Source organism: Homo sapiens, chromosome 8, assembly GCF_000001405.40.
Source record: "Homo sapiens chromosome 8, GRCh38.p14 Primary Assembly".
Taxonomy (NCBI): domain Eukaryota; kingdom Metazoa; phylum Chordata; class Mammalia; order Primates; family Hominidae; genus Homo; species Homo sapiens.
In genome coordinates, this window is record NC_000008.11 from 138824632 (window position 1) to 138850375 (window position 25744).

A 25744-nucleotide genomic window follows, 5' to 3' on the forward strand; every position below is an offset into this window, starting at 1 on the left:
TGAAAGCATGCACATATATATCTGTAGATGAACTTCTCTATCTGTAGATCTGCCATGACTGACAGAGTGCATGGGCATGCAACCAACACCACTCTGCTCACAGTTCATCTTCTTTATAGGTCTTTATCCAACTTTCCTGTGTCTAGCCAGTATTTCCCCAGGGCGTGGAAGTGCGCATCATTGGCACTTCTGGTGACGGGCACTCAACCAAGCCTTGATTAACAAGGGTAAATTTCTGTGTGCCTCTTCAGACAGGAATCTCAAATCTCAAGACAGACTTCATCTCTCCATGGTTCTGTGGTATTTCATCCCATTACTCATTTTGACAGAAGGAGGGGAAGATGCACACATGGCAGACAGGACACAGACAGCTCTGCAAATGCCATGAAGGAAGAGATCCCAGACTGAGGGGGCGGTGCAGGCTCACCCACAAGAATGTAATGTCAGGTGCCCAGTCCCACTGCACCAGACCCTGAGAAAATGGAGAAGCAAGACCTGTGCAATTGGAGATGGAGTTGGATGGGAATGCAATGGACTTCTCCAGAAAAGTGGCCTCTGGAGAAGAATCCCAACTCCTCCATTCAGCCTTCCACACTTACAAAATCAAGCCTCTCAGCAGTTAGTTTGAAAATGTCTCAATGTCTCTGCATCTCAGTATGACCAGGGATGTTATGGAAAAATCATTCAGCAGGACTAATTGATCAGGACAGGCTTGGAACAGAAGCCAGCTGAGCATATGGTTAAAAGCACAGATGTGGGAACCTGAATGACTGGGTTCAAATCTCAACCCCTGCTCTTATTACCTGTCAAAAGGTAAGCAAATTTCTTAGCCTCTCTGTGGCTCAGTTTCCTCATAACTGTGATGCTAACAGTAGAAAATATTCACAGAGTTATTATGAAGACTAAATGAATTAGTATTTGTAAAGCCCTCCAAACAATCCCCAGCTCCTACTAAGAGTATGTACATGTTGATAAGCAAACGCATCTGAAGTCAGGGCCCAGCCTCAACCTGGGAGGGTGAGCTCACTGTTTAAGAGTATCTTGCCCTCTCAGATGGCAGGCCATGAGTGTGACTGCTGGAGTCCAATTGCTTGAGCATGCTTTTATTTTATTTTAGCCCCCAGTGAAAGTTTAGTCAGTATCTCCCAGCTGAAAAGTGAGTAATATCTTCATCCAGTTCATTTTACTAGGAGAGGAGAAAGAAACGGTTTGTCTATGACTTGAGAACAAGGGGATTTGGATTTGGCAGAGAACAAATAGTAGTGTTGCTTTTATCTCAAACCAACAGATGGTGTTGATGGCTTTGAATTTCAGATTTCTCTTTCCTCACCGGACTGTGTGCTGGTGGAGAGCTGTCCTACCTTCATGGGAACTGAAAGCTGAAACACATCAGAGGTGAGTAAAGACAGGACCCAGAGCTTCATTCAGAAGAACACTGAAGGGAACTTCTCATGATGAGATTTTATTACGTATCAGACACTGTTCTAGATGCTTTACAGACCATTATTCCATCTGATTCTCCCACCAACGGTTCATGGTAGGTACTCTATTTTCCATTTTACAGCTAAGAAAACCAAGACTCAGAAAGATAAAGTAACCCATCCCAGGACCCACACGAATGAAGGAGTAGACACGAGACCTGAACCCAGGTCTATGTGACCCTGAGCCAGTGCCCTCCACTGCATCACGAAGCTGGGTCACTCATGCTGCCAATATAGGTGTCACAGGACAGCAGAGTTGGTGTCCATGTCCTTGGCTAGACCAAGTGTCTTGGAGGACAGGAACTCAGTCTTCTTTACCCCCATCAGAAGGCCTGGTACTACATTATCATTAGGACAAGAAGCTAGACCTCTTGGGTCTCATGACATCCCCCCTGCAGGTCCTCTGAGCCTCCATACGCCAGGCTCTCTATCTCTCTAGGCCCAGGGATAAGAGCCCTGGAGAAAACATGGTGGGTGGTGCCATCCACTGTGAGAGGGGAACAGAAAGCTCAGGACCACTGAGATAAGGCATCTGCTGCCCTTACCTGTGGGATGCTGTACTGGTCGATGACCTGCCAGATATACCAGTCTTCCTTCCGAGAGGTTTTCCTGAACCGGAAGGTTGTGACAAAGGCGTACTCATCAGGTAAACCTTGGGGGAACACATCCCTGGAGAAAAATGGAGACAAAGACACCAGGCTTGGCGATGAGAGCAGGGAGCCAGCAAAGTGAGCCCACACAACCCAGCAGTGATCAAGCCCTGCCAATTTGACTTCCTAAATATTTCCACCATCCACCTTCTTGGCCTGCCTTCACTGCCTTCTCCTTAGGTCAGGGCCTCAATGTGGCCTAGACCATCGTCATGACCCCCGAGGCTCCAACATCAGCACCTTCAAATCCATCCCTATGGTGCGTCTGCTTCCATCTCTCCACCACCACCATGACTCTGATGACATCCACAGTAAACGCTAAATGGTCACGCCCCCGGGATCAAATATGGAGAGACACCCAGCTTCGCTGCTCCCTGCTGCATCCTCCTCAGCCAGGACAAATGGATATACCTTATCCTGCTTGGTGCCCTGTCCCAGATGCCAGGATGCCATGGTCTGAATGTTGCTGTCTTCCTAAATCCATATGTTGAAATCTTCACACCAAGGTGATGGTAACAGCAGATGGGGTTTTGGTGGCGGGTGATTAGGTCTTGAGGGCAGAAAGCTCACGAATGGGATTTGTGCCCTTATAAGAGAGACCCCAGAGAGCTTGTTTACCCCTCCCACCATGTGAGAGTACAGGGAAGGATGGTGTCTATGAGGACCCTGACCTTAGACTTCCCAGCCTGCAGAACTGTGAGGAGTAAACACTGTGTATAAGCCACCCAGCTTAGCTTACGGTGCTTTGTCATGGCGGCCAGAATAGACTGGGATGTAGCACATCCTCTTCTCTCCCACAAGGCCCAGGTTCCTGCCTGGCCTGTGGAGCCAGCCTCTCACCTCAGGGAGGCCTCAGCTCCCTGTTGCTCCACCCCCACCAAGTCCTCGGGCTGCTTTTCCTCTTCCAAATTCAGAAATGAAAATTGTTAATTCCCTTCTATGGAGGCTCAATCCCCCCCACCGAGAACCAAGATGCCATCCCTCAGTCCCTCTGTCCTCGGAGCACTCTCAGGCCAGCTGCTCTTCCATCTTCCTCTGTATCATGTACAGGGCACCTGAGCTCCCTCCTGCCTCTTGCATATCAGCACAGAACCCCGCCACCCCCACCAACATGCAGCCTCTCCTGATTGCACATCCCCAGCCGGGACCTGAGCCATCTCCCACTTCCCCTCTTTCTTCCTCTCCTTCCCTCCACAACAGGGTTCTGGGAAACATCATTGACATCACCCCCTCCCCTTCCTCATCTCTCCCCATCTGCTTGACTCATAGCCACCTGTCTTCCAGCTCTCCATCCTCCCCATGTTTTCCTCGTGAGGTCCCTGGTGAGGAAACACTGACAAATCCCTGTCCCTCAGCACCCAAGTAGCACGGCAGGCACTTCATAAAAGTTGAAGGAATGCAGAACTTTGAAAACTGTCAACAGCCGTTTCCATGGAGAAACCTCTCTTTCGCCAGTGCTAGTACAGGACCTGGTTGATTTTCCTGGAGGACGCATCCTAGACAACACATATGTGGGAGCTGTCCCAAGCCTTGTAGGAATCTGAGCAGCCTCCCTGGCCCCCACCCACTTGATGGCAGTAGCAACCCCTCACTCAGTTGTGACAACAAAATTGCCTCCAGATACTACCCAAGGTTCGCTGGGGGGTGGGGGTGAAATTTCTCTTAGTTGAGAACCACTGATCTATCCTAGACTTACATCCTATCAAAATAAAGTTTAGCTTACTTTTTCATAGTGTTTCTCAGATTCAATAAAGCACTTACACTTAGGATCTCATTTGACATAAGAGTCTAAGATTTAATAAAAATACATATCTTTTGAGAGCTTAACACAAGCTCACCACAACTCTTTTCACATATTGCCTAATTTCTTCCTCACGAGAATCTATAAAGAAGGTATTAAAGGCGTGAACCCGGGAGGCAGAGCTTGCAGTGAGCCAAGATCATGCCACTGCACTCCAGCCTAGGCGACAGAGCGAGACTCCATCTCAAAAAAAAAAAAAAGGTATTTTGATCCTCGTGCTATAACCCAGGCTCTGAGGGGTTAACTCCATGCCATCTGGCTACTAAGTGGCAGAGGGAGACACACCTGGGACCTGCTCTCCTGGGCTCTTCTCTTAATCACCAGCTGACTGCACCTTAACTGCAGAGCCAGCCGTGGGGGAGCCCAATCCTGCCCTGGGGGCTGGGGGCTGCCTCAGGAATGTACATGATATTGACTTCCCTGCTGGAGGAGGTGGACCCTGCCTGGCCAGACAGACAGGAAGGGAAGTGGGGAGGCGTCTGAGTTCCTGGTTCTCAGACTTGCAGATCCGCAGGGACTTTGTTTGGCTGTAGGACCTGCGAGCAAGATTCTGATTCTCAGTTTACATCTCCAGGCTGGGAGATGACAGCCCAGTTGTTCAAAGTCATTCTCTGAGTTGGGATTTCACCCAGGATCACATCCAGGTAGTAGGAACAGGGCCCATCACTCATAGCACCTGGGCCTCCCTCAGCATTCAGAGACACCCTCAGTCACTGCCCATGCAGGAGGAAGATGGGGCCTCCCCACCTGCATCCACAGACACACGCTTTGTAGCTACAGATCAGTATGCTGCTTTGTTTTTCATTTTCTCCTTCTTTTCTTTATTTCCTTCCTTTCCTGTTTTTTTTTTTTTTTTTTTTTGAGACAGAGTCTCGCTTTGTCTTCCAGGCTAGAGTGCAATGGCATGATCTCAGCTCACTGCAACTGCCTCCCGGGCTCAACCAATTCTCCTGCCTCAGCCTCCCAGGTAGCTGGGATTACAGGTGCCCGCCACCACACCTGGCTAATGTTTTCTGTTTTTAGTAGACAGGGTTTCAGCTAATTTTTTGTATTTTTAGTAGAGACATGGTTTCACCACATTGGCCAGGCTGGTCTCGAACCCTGGACCTCAAGTAATCTGCCTGCCTTGGCCTCCCAAAGTGCTAGGATTACAGACATGAGCCACAGCACCTGGCCATTTTCTCCTTATTTTCTTAATGAATCCAATTATGCTATTTTTTTTCCCTGAACACACTTTCTTCTTATACCTTTGAAATACACACAGACAAGTGTATCATAAGAAAAAGTACAGATTTATCTGTTAATGACTTTTTATTCCCCTGATTATAATAACTTTTGCTTAGGTTATACACACACATATGTGGGTATATGTGCATGTGTGTGTATATATATATGTATATACCTACACGTGTGTTTATATATGTACCCATATGTACCTATATATACATACATATGTGTATCAGTCATTTTAATCAGGGAGAAAAAAGATCATTAACAGAAAACATCTAAAGAAAGGAAATAGCTGAATCCAATCTTTTCCACAAATAATATAGCAGATATGAGATGGCAGTGGAAGGGTAAATGGTGTGTAATTAGAGGACCTGAGTTTGAGGCCAGCCTCTGCTTCTTCTGACCTGTGAGGTGTTGAACAAATCACTGTCCCATTTTGAGTCTCAAATGTTGTACCAGCTAAGTGAAAAGTGTAATACCTGCCTTGCTCGTTTCTGTTATTGTCATGAGAAATAAATTAGATAAGGTGCGTCAATGCCCTTTACATATTAAAAAGGTGAGAAAAAATGTAAATATTAAAAGTGACAACTTTTCTTTATGAACAAAATTAACTTGCAAACTAAAGTTTTATGTATATGTGTTTAAACTTCAAAGCTTTAGAAATTAAAAGTATAATATCCTTTCTTGAAATGAAAGAGCTTTGCCAATTTGATTTTGTTTTGGGTGCTTTGCCATTAAAAAAAATGTGGAAATTCCTCCTCAGAGCAACTCTCAGAGAACAGGAAGGAGCCAAATCCGTGACCGGAATCGGGGTCCCATGCTGTGTTCCACAGAGCATTGCCTGAATTCGGCCGCTTTGCTCTTTGATGCAAGTGCTTCCTTAGAAGGTTAGCAGAGTGGTCCTTGGTTAGACCCTTCCACTAGATTTGTGTAACTTTTGCTTTCTTTATTTTGTTCCTTCTCTTTTGCATTTTTTTCTTAAAGTTCCATGTGATTTTTTTCTGCTTACAAGTGGAATAGGTGGTGAATTGGACATATTAGGCAAAGAAGTGAGGGGGAGTGAAGGAGGAAACAGGGTGTAGACTCTGCTCATCCCTGTGCACCCCCCACATGAGCATGGGGCCAGGTGATTCATAATAACATCCTCCAGCACCTGGCTGTGTGTGGAGAGAGAACAACCTCATTGTCTGGGAAAATGACTCTCTCAAGAGTTGGCTGACAGCGATTATTGTCTTTGTTTCATGAAAACGAGACTCAGAGAGGAAGTGACTTGTCTCATTTCTTCTTCTGTAGAATCGCTCTTGGAATGCAGACACTGTGAGCCACGGATGAAATGACATTAGGGTCTGACACAGTGCCTGGTGTGTGGCTGGCACTCAGAGAATGTTCATTGAATTAAAAAAACAAAAAGGATCACACACATGCAGAAACCCCTACTCTATGAGCTGGCGTTCAAAGCCAGTCTTTGCCAGACTAGCATCTGAAAGAACATTTTCACTCCTTACGGGCTGTTGACTCATTCATTCAGCAAATATTTCCTCATTCCCTACTCTGGGCAGGGCTTAGTTGGGTGCCGAGACTGTAGCAGAAACCAAGACTCAGTTCCTTTCTAGGACTTCTCATTGAGCAGGGGAGATAAGACTATTGCACAATTGATCAGCTAACTTCAAATTTAACACATTCTGTACAGAAGTACAAATTGGGAGGAGGGTAGGTAAGGGGAAGGCCTGACTTTGGGGATTCAAGGAAGGCATCTAGAGAGCATAATGGGTGAGCATGCTTTGCAGGATGAGCAGGGCACGTGTCCCAGGTAGAGGAAGAACATGAACTAAGGCCTCCCAGTGGGAGGAGGATGCCTGGGAGGACCTAGAACAGAGACAGGAGGTAGACAGGGAGGCCTGGAGGATGAGCCAGGAGGCCACAAAGGCAGGACAGGGCTGGGTCACACAGGGACCTTCCTCTTCCTGGCCTTTTAGTTTACTAAGAACACTGGAGGAATTAAATATTAATAGTTTAAAGATGGAAGAGAGGTCGCATAACACAATATTGTCAGAGGCGTGTGAACCAGAGCAACTCCATCTTAAACAGGAGCTGGGTAAAATGAGGCTGAAACTTACTGGGCTGCATTCCCAGATGGTTAAGGCATTCTAAGTCACAAGATGAGGTAGGAGGTCAGCACAAAATACAGGTCATAAAGACCTTGCTGATAAAACAGCTTGCAGTAAAGGAGCCGGCCAAAACCCACCAAAACCAAAATGGCCATGAGAGTGATCTCTGGTCGTTCTCACTGCTACACTCCCATCAGCGCCATGACAGTTTATAAATGCCATGGCAACGTCAGGAAGTTACCCTATATAGTCCAAAAAGGGGAGGCATGAATAATCCACCCTTTGTTTAGCATATCATCAAAAAATAACCATAAAAATGGGCAGTCAGCAGCCCTTGGGGCTGCTCTGTCTCTGGAGTGGCCATTCTTTCATTTTTTTACTTTCTTAATAAACTTGCTTTCACTTTGCACCGTGGACTCGCCCTGAATGCTTTCTTGCACGAGATCCAAGAACCCTCTCTTGGGGTCAGGATTGGGTAACAATGTCATTTTTGTTTTCAAAAGATTTGTCTGCCTGTAATAAGAAGAATAGAGCATTCATTTTGGTATCATCTTTAGCCCCTGACTGGAGGCCCAATAAGTGTCAGGAACTGGACAAATCTTTACATCATATCCTATCAATAATGTAGCAAGGCAGGAACGTTCACTTTGGATTGAAAACATGAGAAACTCGAGGCACAAGGGCATTCAGTAATCTGTAAAGCCAAGTACCCAGTCAACAGTGATACTCAGTCTCAACTGACCAAAGCCACTCCGAGATTCTGGTGAAGCCACGCCTGCCATGAATGCAGTGTCAGGTCCTTAGTAGGTGCTATGCACTACTAAACCATACCCGTTTGTTATTTCATGAATGGACAGAAAAACACATGTATGAATGAATGATTAATGCCAAATGTGTATGGAGAGATAGGTGTAGAAGGATCAGAGAACCAATGAAGTCAATGATAATAGATTGGCTAAAACACAGGTCGAATTCCCTGGTCCAGTGGTTCAGCTGCTTCATCGCAGGGCAACCTTACAAGGCACTGAGAAGGTTAAAGCCCGGCTCGGTGCCAAGTATGAAACAGGCTGCTGGGCCCCTTTCTTGCCCTTTCCCATGACACCCTGGGCAGGTCTGGAAAGAGAAGTGGCCACTCACTCAGTACTTTGCACCACAGGGAAGGATCCCATCCGTACATAGGAACTCTGAGCTCCATTCTCTCTCTTCCCCAAGATTTCCTTCACACTGAACAAATCCATCAGGTCAAAACCTGTACAAAGAGAAGAGCTGGGAGTGAGTTTGGAGAAGGAAGAGTATAAGAGACAAAGGAAAATCACATCCGCTGTCTGCAAAGGCAGCCTGCCCATCCTGCCCCAGGAGAACAGATCGGGAGGGAGTTGTTCAAATACATATTCAGGGAGAAAACACAAGCACCCGAGTAATGGGACGTATAGCCTTGGCTTCAACTCCAGGAAAAAGGTGCAGGAGAACACAGACAACTGGCTTTCTCAAGAAAATGTGTGTGCATGTGGTTAAGCGTGAGACAAATGGAGGGTGTCCTGGTTGTGTGAGGGCCGCAGGGTCTTGGTGTTCACGAAACCCAGATGTGTGCTCTTCGCTCTTGCAGGCTGGCTCTGCAGGCGAACGGCCACTCACGGCTTTCCTTCCTGCAGCCGTATGTTTGCCTTGCATCTGGACTTTACGTGGGTAACAGTTTGGCAGCTTTTAATTTTCCTGATTTTTAAAGAGAGAAACATCAGAGAGGAATAAACTGTCTTCATGGTACTGCATTATTTGAAATGATTTTGTTTTGTTTTGCTTTGTTTTTCCTTAGTTCAGTTTAATTTCCCTCTAAGAGAGGACCTTATACGCATTGTCAATGTAAAGTAACAGAAAAATCAGGGGCTTTGGACTTGGGTGAGGGTCAAGGGTAAGGACGGGGGTTTGATCCTGAGCGGCCATGTGTATGTGACACTGGGCAAGCTACATGACCCACAGGAGTCTTGGGTACTTCACTGTGGAAGGACAGCAATGATGCCTACTGGGTAGAGCTCTGTGATAATTGTGTAAGACCCTAAATATGTGTCACTCGGCATATGGTGAGAAATTCACAGAGTGGGTTTCTTTTTACAAGTTATTCCCCACAACCACCAGCACACGCTGTCCACATTCCCCCACAATGGGATGCTTTCTGCAGACCAGGTTCTCAGAGGGGCCTGAGGACAACACTCGTTCTGGAGGCTAACAGTGTGACTCAACACCCGCCTGAAACTGTCTCTCTCAGACACTGGGGAAAGCTCTCAGCAGGTTACAGGGAAGCCGGCTGAAGGCAGGCACCAGGCTGAACTCACCTGTGCCCCCCCAGGGATAATATACTTCTCGGTATTCACACCTAACCCATGAGATTTTAGGAAGAGTTCCTCATTGTTTCCAATACTCTAAGGCACTACTGAAAAAAGAGAAAAAGAAAAAAAAAAAAACAGGAAATGGACTTGTAGGACTAACATAATGATTAAAGCCTCTTAGCCTCTTTTACCACTAAATTCTGCCCAAAGAGATTATTTATTCATTCATGCTTTTGAGAGCCAGGGCCACGCCAAGCATTGTGTAAGAAATGTCAGGGAGGGAAGCAGGTAGTCCTGACATAAAGTTTGAGTATTAGAACCGGACAGATCTGGGTGGTGATCCTAATCACTATATCTTTGCTGGGTGACCTTAGGCAGGTTGCCTGACATCTCTGAGCACTGGCTTTATTTCATCTGTAAAAAGGGGATTATTTTCGAATGTACGTCATTGCTGTGAGACTTAAATGATACAAAGTTCTTCATACAGTACCTGACATACAGTAGATCACCAACAAAGCACTTTTTATATTTACTGTTTTCTCATCACAATTACAGCATCCTCTAATGCTAAATTCTGTCCATAGATGTCATGTATTTATTCAGTAGATGTTTTTGAGAGCTTCCAATATGCCAAGCCCTGTGAGCTCCAGGGTTGGAGCAGGCACCAACACAAAATCCTGGCTCCAGGAGAACTGGAACTTGTGGGGACCCCAGAAATAAGAAAATGCACAGTGCAAGTGTGCAATACAATTCCAGGCATGAAGAGTCAGTGAGCAGGGGCGGCACTGGAGAGGAACAGAGCTGGGGCGACAGGGAAGGCGCTCCGGGAGGAAGCTACCAGGTAGAGGCCTGCTCTGGCCTGCGATGGTCTGGGAAGGGGGTTCTGAGCAGGGCAAGGTTGCTCTGGGATTGAAACCCTGCACTTTTTGGATTGGACCGTTCCCTGCCCTTTGCCATCCTGAGGTTGTCAAGTTCTTGGAAAATGACTAAGAGCTGCCATTATGTCATTTTTAAATAGCATTTCACACACAGGCTATTTAATGGAATTCATGATATAATTGTTAAATGATATTGGGTCCTAAAGATGCGAACAGTATTCAGAAGCTTCATTATAGATGGAAAAAGCACCCCTCCAAACCGTGCTTGTTTACACACACTAGTGTGAGTGATTCAGCATCTCTGGAGACGGTTGGTTTGTGGGAGGGAACAGGCACCCACAGTCCCACAACTGAGGTCCCCTGTGGTGCATGGGTTGATCCAGCTGAGAGGCTGCCACTAGGCACAGGCTGAGTGAGGCCAGCTTTCCTGACCCGCCAGCTGCTTGAAGACAGGGCCCAGCTTGCTGAGTTCGCCACCCTATCCCCCTCAGGACCTGCAGGGCTGGCCCACAGTGCAGATTTGTCAAACTGAACATAGGGCCTCACTCTGAGCTGTAACGCAGCCTTGGTCCCTGGTAGAGACTGTGTGGGGGAGAGAACACCCAGCACGTGGACCAGATACCCAGATACTCCTGACTGAAGTCCTACAAATGAGCTGTGTGGCCTTGAGTACGAGCCTCAACCTCTCTGGGCTTATTTCTTCTGCAGTTTTGTAAAATTGGGATAATAATAACAGTGTAGTAGACAAGTAAGGGCTATGATAACAATTTACATGCAAATCCCTGTTCCCACACTTTCTCTCCCTGCCAGCTCTCAGGTAATTTACTCAACCTCTCTGGACCTCATGTCTTCATCCACCAAATGGGACATTAAGAATAACCAGTCAGCCAAGCACAATGGCTCACGCCTGTAATCCCAGCACTTTGGAAGGCCAAGGTAGGTGGATCACTTGAGGTCAGGAGGTCAAGACCAGCCTGGCCAACATGGTGAGACCCTGTCTTTACTAAAAATATAAAAATTAGCCAGGGGTGGTAGTGGGTTCCTATAATCTCAGCTACTTGGGAGGCTGAGGCAGGAGAATTGCTTGGACTCAGAAGGCAGAGGTTGCAGTGAGCCTAGATCGCACCACAGCACTCCAGCCTGGGCGACAGAGAGAGACTCTGTTGCAAAGAAAAAGAAGAAAAGAAAAGGAAAGGAAAGGGAAAGGGAAAAGGAAAAGGAAAAGGAAAAGACCAGTCATCAGGCCTGGACAGGACAATGGCCCTGCACAGTGTCTGCCTGTCTGCCAGTGGCAATACATTCTGACTCTACTATTAGACATTCACGTCTTGGAAAATCACTTTGAGTTTTAAATGAGAAAATGTAGGAACATGCCTGAAACACAACAGTTGCTCACTAAATGCTGGATGCTCTAATGGGTCCCTCACCTTGAATGAGAACATGATCACTCCTCTAAACCCTCACAAACTCTAGATAAACATGCGGCATGGACAGGTGGGTGGGTCTCCCTGACACCAATATCCTGTGATCCTGGCTGAGTCATTTTCTTTCTATCAGTCTCATCTGTAAACTGGGATAATGGGTACAATTTGATCATCTTTTGTGTTTTTAGCACCAAAAACTGTTGATCATATTTCCCCCAATTCTTGCCATGGCTGGGAAGAGTCCCAGTCAAACTGCATTTTTTACATAACAGTTAATTTGAATGTGCAATTGTACGCAGTGAAGAATCCCTCCGTTCAGTATGCTGGGAGATGGGAGTTAACAGAACAGCCGCTGTTCCTACTCAAAGCCATGGGGTTAATCCCAGGTAAAGGTACGATGCACACTGGGCATCTATTATGTTTAACGCAGCCCAAGGCACTCTGCTCCCACACAGAGTTCCAGCTGGGACAGTGAGGAAGTTATCCGGTTTTGTTGAGCCTGTTTCCGTAACTGGAAAAATGGAGAGAATGATTTATTGCAGGGGTGTCATGAGACCTAAGTGTGATGATGGGATTAAATACCTGGGGGGAAGCCAGCACCCAGGAGTTACTCGGTCAACCCCACTGTCCCTGCCTGGGGACCACAGTGGGAACCTGTTGACCCAAGTGAAGCTTGGTCCCCTGGCAATAGCTCTGCCACCACCCCAGAGCCCCACCTCTTTCACTCTGGTTATAAGGACCAGGCCTCCAGAGTGCATGACTGGGAGCAGCCGCCACACCTACCGGAGAGGGAGTCCTGGGGAGTCCCCGAGAGATCCCAAGTTGGACGAGGCCAGTCACCCAGACATTGGGAGACATTCACCAAATGCATGCTGGGAGCACTCCCTGTCCCTCATCTCTCCCCTGCACTGCTGTTGACAAAGCCCCCAGCCCACCTGAACAGGACCTCAATGCCCCAGAGGCTGCAGTCTCAGCATCGCCTGGGGACAGAAGCATGGAGAGTCCCCACAGCTCTGGGCTCCCAGGCAGGCCCAGTGAGGAGCAGCTGTTGGAACTGACTGGGCCCCATACAACAAGGGGCCTTTGACAACCCACCGGGCTGCCCCTGTATTGGGGCCTCTGTGTCTGGAAGTGTCCTGGGGCCTGAGGAGCCCCAGCAGTGGGAGGGGCTGGTGCCTCTGAATGGGGGAGCTTGGCCATGAAGACCTGGAGGGCCCTGCGGTTCCAGGGTTCCATGAAACTGGTGCCTAAAGTGTACAGTCTGCTTAGGATTAGATGTTGTCCCAGAGAAAGGCAGAATAGGTGAGAACAGGTTTTGAGACCAGCCCATTCTAGGTTCAAAACCTGGCCCAGCCCTGGCCAGAGGTGGGACGTGTCCTGGTGGCCTCCTCCTCAGTGATGTAGGGGTGAGGACGTGCCTTGCAGGGTTGTCACCTTGAGGAGGGGCACAGACAGCACCTGGGAGTTCTTGAGGTGGGAGCTGGGGGAGGGGGTCGCTGCTGAAGAAAAGCAGCAGCCAGTGTAATTGAGGCAGCAGAAGCAGTGGCGTGGAGGGAAAGAGAGCACCGCAGCCGGCCACACCTGGGTTCCTGTCCCTGTTCTCAGACTCAGCAGTTCCACGGCTTTGGGGCAATTTCTCAGCCCCTTAAGCCCCCATTTGTCATCTGTGCAAAGGGGATAGGCAGCCACTTCTCAGGGCCACCTGAGGAATCTCACAGAGGTGGGGTCCCTGGAGGCTCATGGGGAGTGAGGGCTCTTACTCAGAGGAGGCTCACAGGTGGCCTCAGCAGCCCCTCACACACTCACTGAGGGATGAGGGGGAGTGAGGAGAGCCTAAGAGCTGGTCCAGAATCTGGGCGGACACGTGCCTACCCTGGGAAAAGTCAGGGCCGGGAACTGCAAAGTGGGCCGATCCTCTACTTCACAGCACCATCAAACACCACTAAAAATGGACACCTTCATCTGCTTTTCCCTTCAGCAGTCATATTGGAGAGAATATATGAAATAGACTTGTTTTCAAAAAGCAAGCCTATGCTCTACTTTCTGGTTCCACTTTTATTGGTTTCAGTGAACAAAAACAAAGAGTTGAATACAACAAAACTTGGAACAACAAGGAATTAACTAGGTGGCAGCAAAGGGCACCAAAAAAAAAAAAAGATAAATTGCCCAAAATAAATAAGGGCTGGGAAGGAGAATAAAAAATGTTCCCGAGGAAAGCAGGCTGTGATGCAAGGCACTGTGAGATAAAAAAAAAGCAATTGTTTTATGCAAAAAATAGAGGGAGCACCTCGCTGAAGCCAGGGAAGCCGCTGGACCACGTGGTGTCAGAAGACCTTAGTGATGGCCCAGGTCACTGGCTGCACCTGCTGTGCCAGGTACCTACTGTGTGCTCCTCACCTCATCCAGCAAAGGTCGACCTGGATGGAACTTTGCTGCTGCCCTCCCCCACCCCCTTAGCTGCCTTAGTTCCTCTTGGAGTTTCCATGGGTCTGGGTAAGATGCAGGCAGCTTATGTTTATGGGGCTGCCTCCTCCAGTAGATGGAGAGCTCTTTCAGGAAAGGGATGATTTGATCTGTTTCTCCATCCTTAAAATGCCTGCTGCTTTTGCTGTTCCTATTCAAGCATTTGAGGGTCATTTGTGGAAGGAGAGAAGAAGAGAATGAAGGAATTCATGACCCACTATAAAGGGCCTCCTATGTGTTAGATGCTGCGTGGGCTGCTCAGGTTGCCATCATGAACAAGCATCTGGGCTACTGTGGGATGTCAGGACCCACGGCGAGGGTACACTGGCTGGGAATAGGGTGGGCTGGTGCCGGTCAGGCTGGGCTTTTGTCGGCTCCATCGGCGAGTTTGGGTTTCTTTCTTCAGGCAATGAGGAGCCACAGAGGGCTTTAAAGTGAGGGAGAAATACCATCTGGTTTCTATTTTCCAAGGTCATTCTGGCAGCAGGGCATGGAGGGGCAAGACCAGCCAGGAGTAGGTAAAGGTACAATGCACACTGGGCATTTGCAATGTTTAACGCAGCCCAAGGCACTCTGCTCCCACACAGAGTTCCAGCTGGGAACTGGAGGGCAGAGATGAGGTGAGTGAGATGAGGGCAGGTGAGGAGGGAGGGATGGAAGAAGCAGTTGAATTGGAGGGCGGTTTAGAAGGTATCATGGGCAGGACTTGGTGATTATCTGGATGGGGGGCCCAAGTGGGAAGAGAGAGACATCCAGGATGTCTGTGGCCAAATTTGAGACCTGCACATGCCTAACATATGCTTTAAGCATTAAGTAGCTAAACTTCTAGAAAAGTTGCCTAACGCTTTTATTGGCTAGAATTTGTAGAACATTTGGTTTTTAGAGCTGAGAGGGACTCTTGAAGACATTCTGTAGGATCCACTGTTATATAGGTGAGGAAACTGAGGCTCAGAGAAGTCAAAAGATTGACCCAAGGTTGGCTGGCTGGTGAGCAGCAGGGCCATCTAAGACCTATGCCTCCAATCTCCTGCGTCTATTCTCATCCTCGTGCTCCCAGACCCAGCCCAGATATGCCCTAAAAATAGCCAGAGTCATTTATGGGAAAGCCTGGAGGTGAGGCTTTTGGGGACTGCATTTTTTCCAGAATACAGAAGCTGTCCCTATTACCCAATGGCATTTAAATTGGCAAATTTGAGGCTCCATCTCTCCACAACTCCCTCTTCAGCCTGAACATGGCTGGAGCGGTTTTTCGGGGCTGGTTATAATTAGAGGAGACGGTAGATAAAGCAGGTTCTCTGTGCATTCAGAACTGCACAAACAGTATTTGCTCTTCAGACTGAAGGATGCCCAGCTGACATTGTGATTTCTTTTCCAGGGAGACTCCAAAGAGGGAGGGGAGGCTTCAGGACTCCTCTGGCTGTGGACTGACACAGGAGGGCCCATAATAGAGGGTCCCGGTCACCAAACAGACTCTTTGAAAGGATCCTCCACATATGTCGTAGACTAAGAAATCTGTTCAAAGTCCTGCATTTTCATGTGTGAGTACACACACACACACACACACACACGCGCTCCTGAATCTTCCCAGCAAGAATCAGTTATTATTATTATTATTAAGAAAAGGTCTTGCTCTGTCACCCAGGCTGGAGTGCAGTGGCGTGATCTCAGCTCACTGCAACCTCTTCCTCCTGGGCTTAAGCGAACCACCCACCTCAGCTTTGGCTAATCTTTTCATGGGTATTTTTTGGTAGAGATGGGGCACGCACCACCATAGTTGGCTGATTTTTTTGTGTGTATTTTTTGTAGAGATGGGGTTTCACTATGTTGCCCAGGCTGGTCTTGAACTCCTGAGCTTAAGCAATTCACCTGCCTTGGCTTCCCAAAGCTCTAGTATCACAGGCGTGAGCCACTGCACCCAGCCAGAATTATTCTTAAGTAGAAAATAATTGCTATTCTTCAGCCTACAGAATGACAAGAAAAGCTTTAAATTCATGCTGAGTTACAGATGATGCAGGCAGGTTTGTTTGTTCATTTGTCTGTCTGCCTTCCTTCCTTCCATTCTTCTTTCTCCCTCCTTTCCTTTCTTCCTTCTTCCATCCATCATTTTGTCCATCCCTCCATCCAGCCTCCCATCCAACCATTCATGTTTTCATCCTTTGATTAATGTTTCTTATTTTCACTAATTCATTCATATATCCATCCATTCATTTCACAAACATTTGTCACATTCCTTCTAAGTGTCAGGTACGGTCCTCTACTCTTAAGACACAAAGAATAAAGCCCAAGTATAAACAAGTCCTGCTCTCAAACAGCTCATATGCTTGCTGGGGAGGTAGACAGGGACGCAAATCATTATAATGCCTTCAGATTGGAGTTCTCAGAATAGAATAAAATGTTAAAAGAGCAACTAATTGCCCTGTGGGGCTTCAAGCAGTTTCCTGGAGGTGACTGTTGAGTTGGGCTTTGGGGGATGAATAGGAGCTCACTGTGAGAATAAGTTGGGGATGGACACACCACACAGAGGTAATACCATCAGCTAAGGGGAGTACTGCATCTTTGGGGGCTAGCAAGCATTCCAATAGATTCATGAGTAAGCTAGGACAGAAGAGTCAGAACCTCTTCTGCAGAGTAGGAAGCATGGACTAGATTCTAGGAGCCAAGGAATCCAGGTTTTAGAAAGACAGCCCTTGACGAAGAGGAGGGAAGAGGGCAGTGCTGGAGGTTGACATGCTGATTAGAGATGCTACAAAACTCCAAAGGAAAGACAACAGTGGTCTGGATGGGCCTGGGGGCAGCAAAGGAAGTGCAATTTTCTTTCAACTCTTCCAGCCACCAAGTAGATGCAATGACAGCAAAAGTGCTATGTCTGGGAGTGGCCAGTCCATGGGGAAGAGCTCTGAATATTGCAACGCAGCCTATTTTTCCCTTCCTATGGCAGGAAAAGAGAGTAACTTTTGATGGTTTGGGTAAGTTTGCCTGATTTTTAAGACAAATACGGCTTTCAGTTCTTCACTCTGTTGAATCAGTTACCTAGAAATACACATTGTACAGTCCAAGCTCCAAGACTGGCCACTTGATGTGGCAAAACAGTGGCAAATGTGGGCTTTGCTGAATGGTGGTCTGAGTGCAAATCCTCATTCCGCCACAAACTCAGGCAAGTGGCTCAATCTCTCTGTGCCTCAGTTTTTCCAACTGTAAAATGTACAACAGTGTGTCCCATATAACATATAGAGGAGTGCATCTCATGTGCTGTGAGGGTAAATGAGGAAATGCGTGCAAACCCTTTGGCACACAGTAAATGCTCAGGAGGCATTCATTATTACTATGATTTTATTAACCACACTATTGTCATAATGATTCCTTTCTATGGATATGTGTGTTAGATAATGAATTACTTGGGTGATACTGCTATGAAGGACTCACGGCTCCCAAAGCCACAGGTATATAATGCAGTAAGGTAAGAATTTGCTTTGAAGACGAATATCAATGGGAGGGGTCTCAGGGAAAAGTTGCGCAGACACATTCACACTCCAGTGGATAGAAAATAGATTATCCGAGAGCCAGAGCCTCGCTGGGGATTACCAAGGCAAAAAGTGGGAATGTTGAAGTGAAACTGACCAGAAGGTTTACACCTTGGCAAAGTATTGCATTGGTGCAAAAGTAATTATGGTTTTGCCATTAAAGTTTTGCACAATTATTTTTGCAGCAGCCCAATAGCTCAGATATAAATACACTTATTTCAAGGAAATTAGGTTAACAAAGTGAAGAAGATGAAAGTCACCTTTATCTCATGTATTAGACAAATAAACCCTGACAGTGATAGCACCCCACTGGGCACCAGCTACGCAGCAGGTGCCCCACCTCGAGAATATCACTTTGTTTGGTTTCCTCTGAAAGTGCCAGTAGTTTATTGGAGAGGTGCTTGAGCAGGGAGTAGAGGCAGGATTCAGGGAAAGAAAGCAGCTGATAGAGTATGGCATGAGGCCAGTTACCCTGGTGGATGACTGCCCCTAGGAAACTCTGGGAAACGGGGTCAAATGTGGACTTCAGAATAATCCCACCTAAGGAGCAGTAGAGCCGGGTGCTTCTATACCAAGGGTCACTGGTTAGGAGCTGCTCCTGGGGGGTGCTCACTCCCTGGCACCTTTCTCCCACTGTGCACATAGGCAGAGCAGCCTTCCACCATTCCAGAAAAATCCCCCAGGCACAAGATGCAGATGCTGGCATCTTTAAGACAGCAGAGCACGGTGACATGGCAAGGTCCCTGGGATGCAAGCAGGGTCCCAGCAGTACCTTCCAAACACTTCGTCCTGACCTCACATGGCTCCCTGCTAGGATGGGGACACATAAGTGCTTAGAATTGGACCCAAGATGATGCAGGAGGGAGAGGAGAGACACCAAACCCAGGGGCATTGGCAAGAAGAGCAGGGCTGCTGTTCTGCAGTGGCTTCCTGGTTGGGAGTTGGGAGAGAAGAAAACTTCTTTGCCATATGTATTTAAAGTGCTGAGCAGGGTGCCCGGCCACAGGGAGGACTGGATCCATGTTCGGGTAATTGGGATGGTGGGGAACCACCTCGGCCATACCCCGCACCCTCGCAGCCTTCTATTCTGTCATATGCCTGACAGCCTTTGGTGAGACTCTGCGGTATTTCTTTCTGCTGCTGGGTCTGCAGTCACGTGTCTCTTTGTTCTCTCACCCATTGATTCACTCATATATTTATAACTCTGATTCACTCTCGCTTTCACTCCAAAACACATTTATTTATTCAGTCGTTTGCTCACTTTGCCAATCATTTGCTTACTCATTCACCAGCTTCTTTACAAACTCATTCATTCTCATGCATTATTGAGTGACTCCTATAGAATATCCACAGCCTGCCAAATGGAAAATGTGAATGTATGTTCTTTCCTGTTGGATGGTTCTTTGATGAGAGCTGCCACCTGCACGATTCAAACCACTTTATCAGGACTCTGGTGAAATATGGGAACAAGAACAGGGTCAGTGAGGCCACCCCTGAATTGACTAGGGTCATGCTCAGGCTCAGCAAATCATACACCAAAGCAAGCACACGTGGTTATTGTTTTTCCCTTACCTGTGATTTCCTTGGTTCCTCCATTGGTGTGCTTAAAGCGATCTCCTTCTACACGAACGCTAGGACAGAGCACATCTGAGGAAAGCAAGAGGAAACAGAGACTGATGAGAAAATGTGACCCATCGTCACCCTGTGAAATATGACAGCACACAAGACCCCACCCTGCCTTGCAGCATGTGAGGTGTTCAATGCCTGGAGAAGATGCAGAGGCAGCTGGCATCTCCGCACTCACTCATGTTTTCATTTTCCTGTGTATTTGTTAAGCATCAACTCTGCAAATACTGTGTTCTGTACTGGGGTGAAATATGAACAAGGCTTTCTTCCTGTCTATGAGGAATTCACAGCCTTGTCCGAGGGAGCCAGACACGGACATCAATATTAACAACATAGCGGAATAAGTTGTAGATACATGTGCCTGCTGCTGGGGGGTTCAGGACACAGATACAATAACTAATCTAACGCAGGAGGACAGAGAAGCTTTCCTGGAAAGATTCTTTTTGAAAGAACTGTAAGATTTAGCCTGATAGACAAAAGACCAAAAGGTGATACAGGCAGAGGGAACCTCATTTAGGAAAGCATGCACATGTCCGGGCGCGGTGGCTCACGCCTGTAATCCCAGCACTTTGGGAGGCCGAGGCGGGCGGATCACGAGGTCAGGAGATCGAGATCATCCTGGCTAACACGGTGAAACCCCGTCTCTACTAAAGATACAAAAAATTAGCCGGGCGTGGTGGCAGGCGCCTGTAGTCCCAGCTACTCGGGAGGCTGAGGCAGGAGAATGGTGTGAATCCGGGAGGCGGAGCTTGCAGTGAGCTGAGATCACGTGGCTGCACTCCAGCCAGGGTGACAGGGCAAGACTCCATCTCAAAAAAAAAAAAAAAAAAAGGAAAGCATGCACATATACATGAAACCTCCAAGTCAGTAGGATGTCAATGAAATGGAAATTGTGTGCAGGGACGGACCAGAAAGATGTTCCATAAGTCATCTGATGGAGCTTCAGGTACAATTACATAAACAGGCAAATTCCAAACAAGTAAAACTCAGTTATACAAAAGCAATTGAGTAAGTCATACAATAAAAAATTATTATACAATATTACATAAATATGTTAAAGTCTTCATGGATCCTCACTTCTAAAAAGTTGGAAGAAGGGCAGGTGTGGTGGCTCATGCCTGTACTTTGGGAGGCCAAGACGGGGGGGGATCACCTGAGGTCAGGAGTTCGAGACCAGCCTGGCCAACATGGTGAAACCCCGGCTCTACTAATAATACAAAAATGAGTCGGGCATGGTGGTGCACACTGGTAACCCCAGCTACTCAGGAGGCTGAGGCAGGAGAATCGCTTGAACCTGGGAGGCGGAGGCGGAGGCTGCAGTGAGCTGAGATCACGCCACTGCATGACAGCCTGGGTGACAGAATGAGACTCCACCTCAAAAATAAATAAATAAATAAATAAATAAATAATAAAAAGTTGGAAGAAAAATGAACTCTTTCAGTCCCTCTAACAATTTCAGAAAGAGCATTAACTTTGAATTTTAATGTGCTGAGTCCATGCTGACTACACTCCCGCCTACCCTCTGTGGCTTAGAGAAGTCTCTTAATCTGTGTGTCTTAGCGTGGGCACCTGTGGCATGGGAGATATTAATATGCACACATTTGTCACAGGGCTGCTTTGAGGATTGGGCAAGATTATGCCCACAACAGCACTGAAAGGCTGTAAGGAGGTTCTGTATTCTCATAAATTTAGCACCCAAAGCACCTCACTTATCTCCCTGAAGACCCAGCCCTGCCCATGAAGCAATTTGGTTATCACACATTATTATTATAATCACACATTATTAGGCAGCTCCACCACCCCATTAGTTCCATATACAATGGCCTCTTCTCATATTTGAGGGTATAAGTGTCTCAGTGCAGGGAACAAATGAGATCTTTCCTGATTTGGAAGGAGGTATTTTTAATGTTTATCCTCAAAGGCACCACCAGGTCTGACAAGCATCATGGAAGGGGTTATTTTGGAAACAGTACCAAGCTGTCTGTCTAGCACTACATACAGGAATGGGTACAGGCACAGCACAATATTTAGACAGCTCTACCCAGGACAGCAGCAGCTGTGGGGTGACGATCAATTGCTTTAAGTTTGGCAGCCTGCCAGAGAGACAGGCTGGGAATTGCGTGTCATTTTAATGAGTTTAAAATTTAAGACGAGTTGACTCAGAAGGTTCTATCTATCTTTGATGATGAGCAAATCTCTGGAGGCTGGCGGCTGGACCTCAGAGTAGGCTGCTCCATTGAGTCACATCTCTGCAAATTTCCCAAGGGGAGGACCACGCACACAGAAATGATGGAGATTCTACTCAAAGATAGAACTTGCTCAAATTGCTTTAAGAAATCTTTCTCAAAACAACCTGCAAATTCCCTCTGGGGCCATCACTAAGCCTCACACATTCACCAGGCTCGAGGGGCAGTTTATAGTTGAGTTGGTTAAGTCAGAACAAATAGCTTCCAAAATAGCCCTCCAGCCAGCCTTCCTGGGGATGGTGGGGTCCTCAGGGTCCACCTGCTTGGCAAGGAGGTAGGGTTAGCATCCATGGCTCCTCTTAGCCTATAATTGGAAGCCATTCTGCATTTCTTTTTGGCCAAGATATCCCCACATCTTGGAGAATGATCTGTTTATTTCTGTATTCACTCATCTATTCAAACTCAATTCTTTACTGAGCTCCAGATATGTTCCAAGCATTGAGCTACCTCTAGGGTCAGAGAAGTGGATGAGAGAGACATCCTATTCCCTGCCTTCAGGGCATTGCAGGGCTGACTAACAGGAACAGACTCCAAACACGTGAGTGAAAGAAAGGATCAGTGCTACTGGGAGTCATTTTGTCTCCATGCTTCCCAGGGCTCCTCCTCCTGGATCTTAGAGACTGCTCAGCCTTGAACAACCCCAGGGGCTTGTTTCCATTTATCCCAGCCTGGGTAGGGAGCCCTTCGTCAGGTCCCAGTGTCCAAGAGCTGAGGGCACCATACTGAAGTCACTAATGGGCATGTCTGTCTCCCCAGGGAGTGGGAGTCTTCAGACCTGGTTGGACCTCAGCTCACCTCTGTATGGCCACTGTCTTTCTAGCTCCAAACCCATAACAGGCCTTCAGCTGTTGAGCAGAAATGACTTCTGACAACTGAGCTGAGAAGTAAACACTGACTGGTGGAATGGGGAGCCTCCCAGGCATGGGGTTCGTTATGATTTTGATGAGCCACTGAGAGTATTTCATGGGCCCTTGAGCTCCTGCCCTGGAGGTGTAGCAGGCATCATTTGTTATCAGCCCCATATCCATTTCCCACTTCTTTGTTGCTAAATAATGCCACCTTAGTTCAGAAAGACAGAGTTTTCAGCCCATGGAGAAACACTGTAGCTGTTTGGTCTAAGTCAATTATGATTATTCTATTCCCCACCTTTCCAGTCTCACTTGCAGCTAGGGATGGATGTGTGATTCAGGGCTGTCCAAGGAAACAAATAACCAAAGCTTGCTGTGGATAAAGGAAAGGATTGCTTAAAAAGCTTTTGGTTTCCTTGATGTAAGGGATAGATAAGTGGATGGGGTGGTGAGTTTACTTTCCTTTCTTCTTCCTTTGCATATGAAACATAATGTTTGGGGGACTGTCTAGGAGAATGGAGGAAATATCAAACAAGCAATTCCAATCCTAGGTGGGAGGCATAAGATTAAAAAAAAAAAAAAAACTTCTATTTGTTTAAGCCACCATATATGGGTTTTCTTCACTTGCAGTTGAGTGCATTCCAAATTTGCATGCATTTCCTTCCTATGGGCCTCACTGATATGCCAGTGTAACCAGCTGGAAGGTCAGATTCTCTTTCTGGATGTCTAAGGACAATTAATGAGGGTGGTGAGAAGTGGTGCATTACTTCCTTGGTAAAGGAAATACAGACTGAGTTACCTTCTCTATCCCAATAAATATGGAATTCTCAGGTAATCCTTCAGGAGCAGCATAAGAAGTAGTTCTAAATTAAGGGCAAGGATAAATTCATAGGAGTTAAAAATGTGGATTGAATTTGTTCTTGGCTGGTTCACTGGTTGATTTTCCTTTTTGAAAACATGAGAACACAAAAACGAAAACATCTAATGACAAAGACACTGCTTCCTTAAAGTCCATTTATTGTCTACCCCCTGACAATCATTTTCCTTCACTCTCTAGGTAAGTGGAACATTCTAGACTTCTGAAGAGAAAAAAGGTATCTCTTCACACAGCATGCGTTCCTTCTCACCGGAAGCCTATTGATTGATCAGAGCTGCTGCTCTAAGGGAAAACACCACGAATTTACTGTGGTCTTCCTGGAAAAACACGTCCATTTTTTTGGCCTCAGTTTACCAAATGGCAAAAGGGGGGCACCTGTTTGTCCATTAGGGGAGGAAAAGGGCTTGCACAATATGGCGTCTGATGTCCTCGTGCTCTATGTTGACGCAACCATGGTTCTGTCTGCAGAACACACAGCCTTGTCATCCCCTGGCTCTCGGCCAAGAGTTTTTCCAGTTGGGAACGGAGGGTACATGCAATTATTGAGTACCCAGTGTGTGTGTCAATCATCTGGCTTTGGATTTAACTCACAACAACCATCCTACAAGGTAGATTTTCTTCCCATTACACAGATATAAAAACTGAGTCCAAGATGAGAAACTCATCAGACAGGAGAAATGTCTCTGTATTTGAATAAATGCCTCCCTAAATCTAGCATCTAGGAAGAGATACGGTGGCCCCATGTTAGATCAGCAGGAGCAGTAGAAACAAGGGAAGGATGCCAGGGCAGCCCTGCCGGATACCAGACAGGAAGCAATCACGGCTCATCCATCACCTCGCAGCGGCCGCTGCTGAGTGCAGCTAACCACAGACAAGATGTATGACATCCAAGTGGAAGAGGCGGAGGAGGGAAGAGCTGAAGCAGAAGCCCAGCAGACACAAGGTCCAGTTCCTCCGCTGCTCCGAGGCCAGCCAAGGAATTTTCCACGCATCTCCATTTCAGACAGGCGACAGACACATGGCAGACACAAGGGCCCAAGGATCATGTTCATAAGGATTACACTGTCATGGCTCCCAGGGACTGAGCGCCCGCGTGGCTAGGTCCTGCACTGGGAATGCCATGTGGATTGTTTCTGAGCCTCTTGGCTGCTCTGCTGGAAGGATGTAGTTATCTCCATAAGCAGCAGACACATGTAGGTGGCTTGCTGTGCACCAGACGCTGTTCCAAGCATGTTGAATACATTAACACATTTAATTGAATCCTTACCATGGCTTTACGAGGTAGGTGCTATTATTTAGAGAAAGAAAGAAAGGGGGACTAACTTCTTCCTGTAGAAAGAAAGGCATAAAGAAGTTAGTCAACTGCCCAAGGCCACACAGCTTGCAGGTGGCAACGTCAGCATGATGGCTTCAGCACCCAGTTCTTGGCCACTGCATGATGCAGCCTCTCCAAGGGCCAGGTCAACTGCCTCAGGTCACCCAGCCAATAGGGATTCAGGTCTGTGTGTCTCCAAAGCCTGGACCAGCAGATGGTCAGTTTGCTACTTTCTACAGCAGCCCATTTTGCCTTTTAAGAGTCTTGACTTGTAGAAGGGTCTTCCTCACCCTGTACCTATAGGATTCATTGGCTTATGCAACGGGAAGCCAAGGCTCAGAGAGGTTAAGTAATTTACCCAACATCACACAGCTGACAAGTGGCACAGAACTGAGCCCAGGGAGTCAGATGTAGGCATCTGAGCTCTTAACCACTATCCACAATCTCTGCACTGGAAGCCACGTTGGTTGTGATAGAATAATAACCAGCCAATCGCTGTGTGTAATGTCAGCATTACACACAGGCTCTCTTTTAATCCTCCTCATGGTTTGCAGGGCAGATACTATTATCCATATTTTACAGGTGAACAAGTAACTTTCCTAGTAATTGAAAGCGGGAGGAAATTGTTATTAACCACATCTCAGGGCCATGGTGTGCACCCTGTGAGAAGATGAAGACAACTCAGGGTTCAGACATTGGGTTCTTATGCCCAGTTCCACCTCCACCACCTGTTCCAGAACTTTCTGGAGATTCCTGGCTTGCATTTCTCCTCTAGGCCAGAGTGTATCAGCACCAGCTGCCTCCCCAGAAGGCCCAGATCCTCTGGCTGTTCAATCCACATCTCCCAGATCCTTTAGGCAGGAGAGAGGGCATGGTCAGAGTGCCAGGTGTTTTGTGAAAATGTTTATGCAAGTGTTTCACAGGAAGTCTGTGTGACATATGCAGTAGACAA

At 47.2% G+C, this 25744-nt stretch overlaps 1 protein-coding gene across 12 annotated transcripts in view, besides 1 other annotated feature; it reads right to left on the reverse strand.

The window, feature by feature from the left end:
- COL22A1 (collagen type XXII alpha 1 chain) overlaps nt 1-25744 on the reverse strand; it is a 325807-nt gene that overhangs the window by 236397 nt on the left and 63666 nt on the right. For 10 of the 12 annotated variants that reach the window (XR_001745487.2, XM_017013150.3, XM_011516886.4 and 7 more), the window contains 3 exons: nt 19453-19527; nt 8408-8519; nt 2027-2150 (listed from right to left, as the gene is read on the reverse strand). Coding sequence is in view for 9 of the 12 variants with exons in the window: in XM_017013150.3 (XP_016868639.1) it covers nt 2027-2150; nt 8408-8519; nt 19453-19527 (311 nt within the window). In the remaining 3 variants the exon portion in view is untranslated. Of the gene's footprint in view, nt 1-2026; nt 2151-2542; nt 2794-3404; nt 3493-8407; nt 8520-19452; nt 19528-25744 lie in introns of those variants that run through there. The other 2 variants (XM_011516887.2, XM_017013152.2) reach the window with 2 other exon arrangements.
- Nucleotides 23967-24468: an enhancer, noted in NCBI's record as "H3K4me1 hESC enhancer chr8:139860841-139861342 (GRCh37/hg19 assembly coordinates)". NCBI's record gives its function as "activates a minimal SCP1, AML or CMV promoter by ChIP-STARR-seq in primed H9 embryonic stem cells {active_cell/tissue: H9 hESC(primed)}" and the evidence as "EXISTENCE:reporter gene assay evidence [ECO:0000049][PMID:30033119]".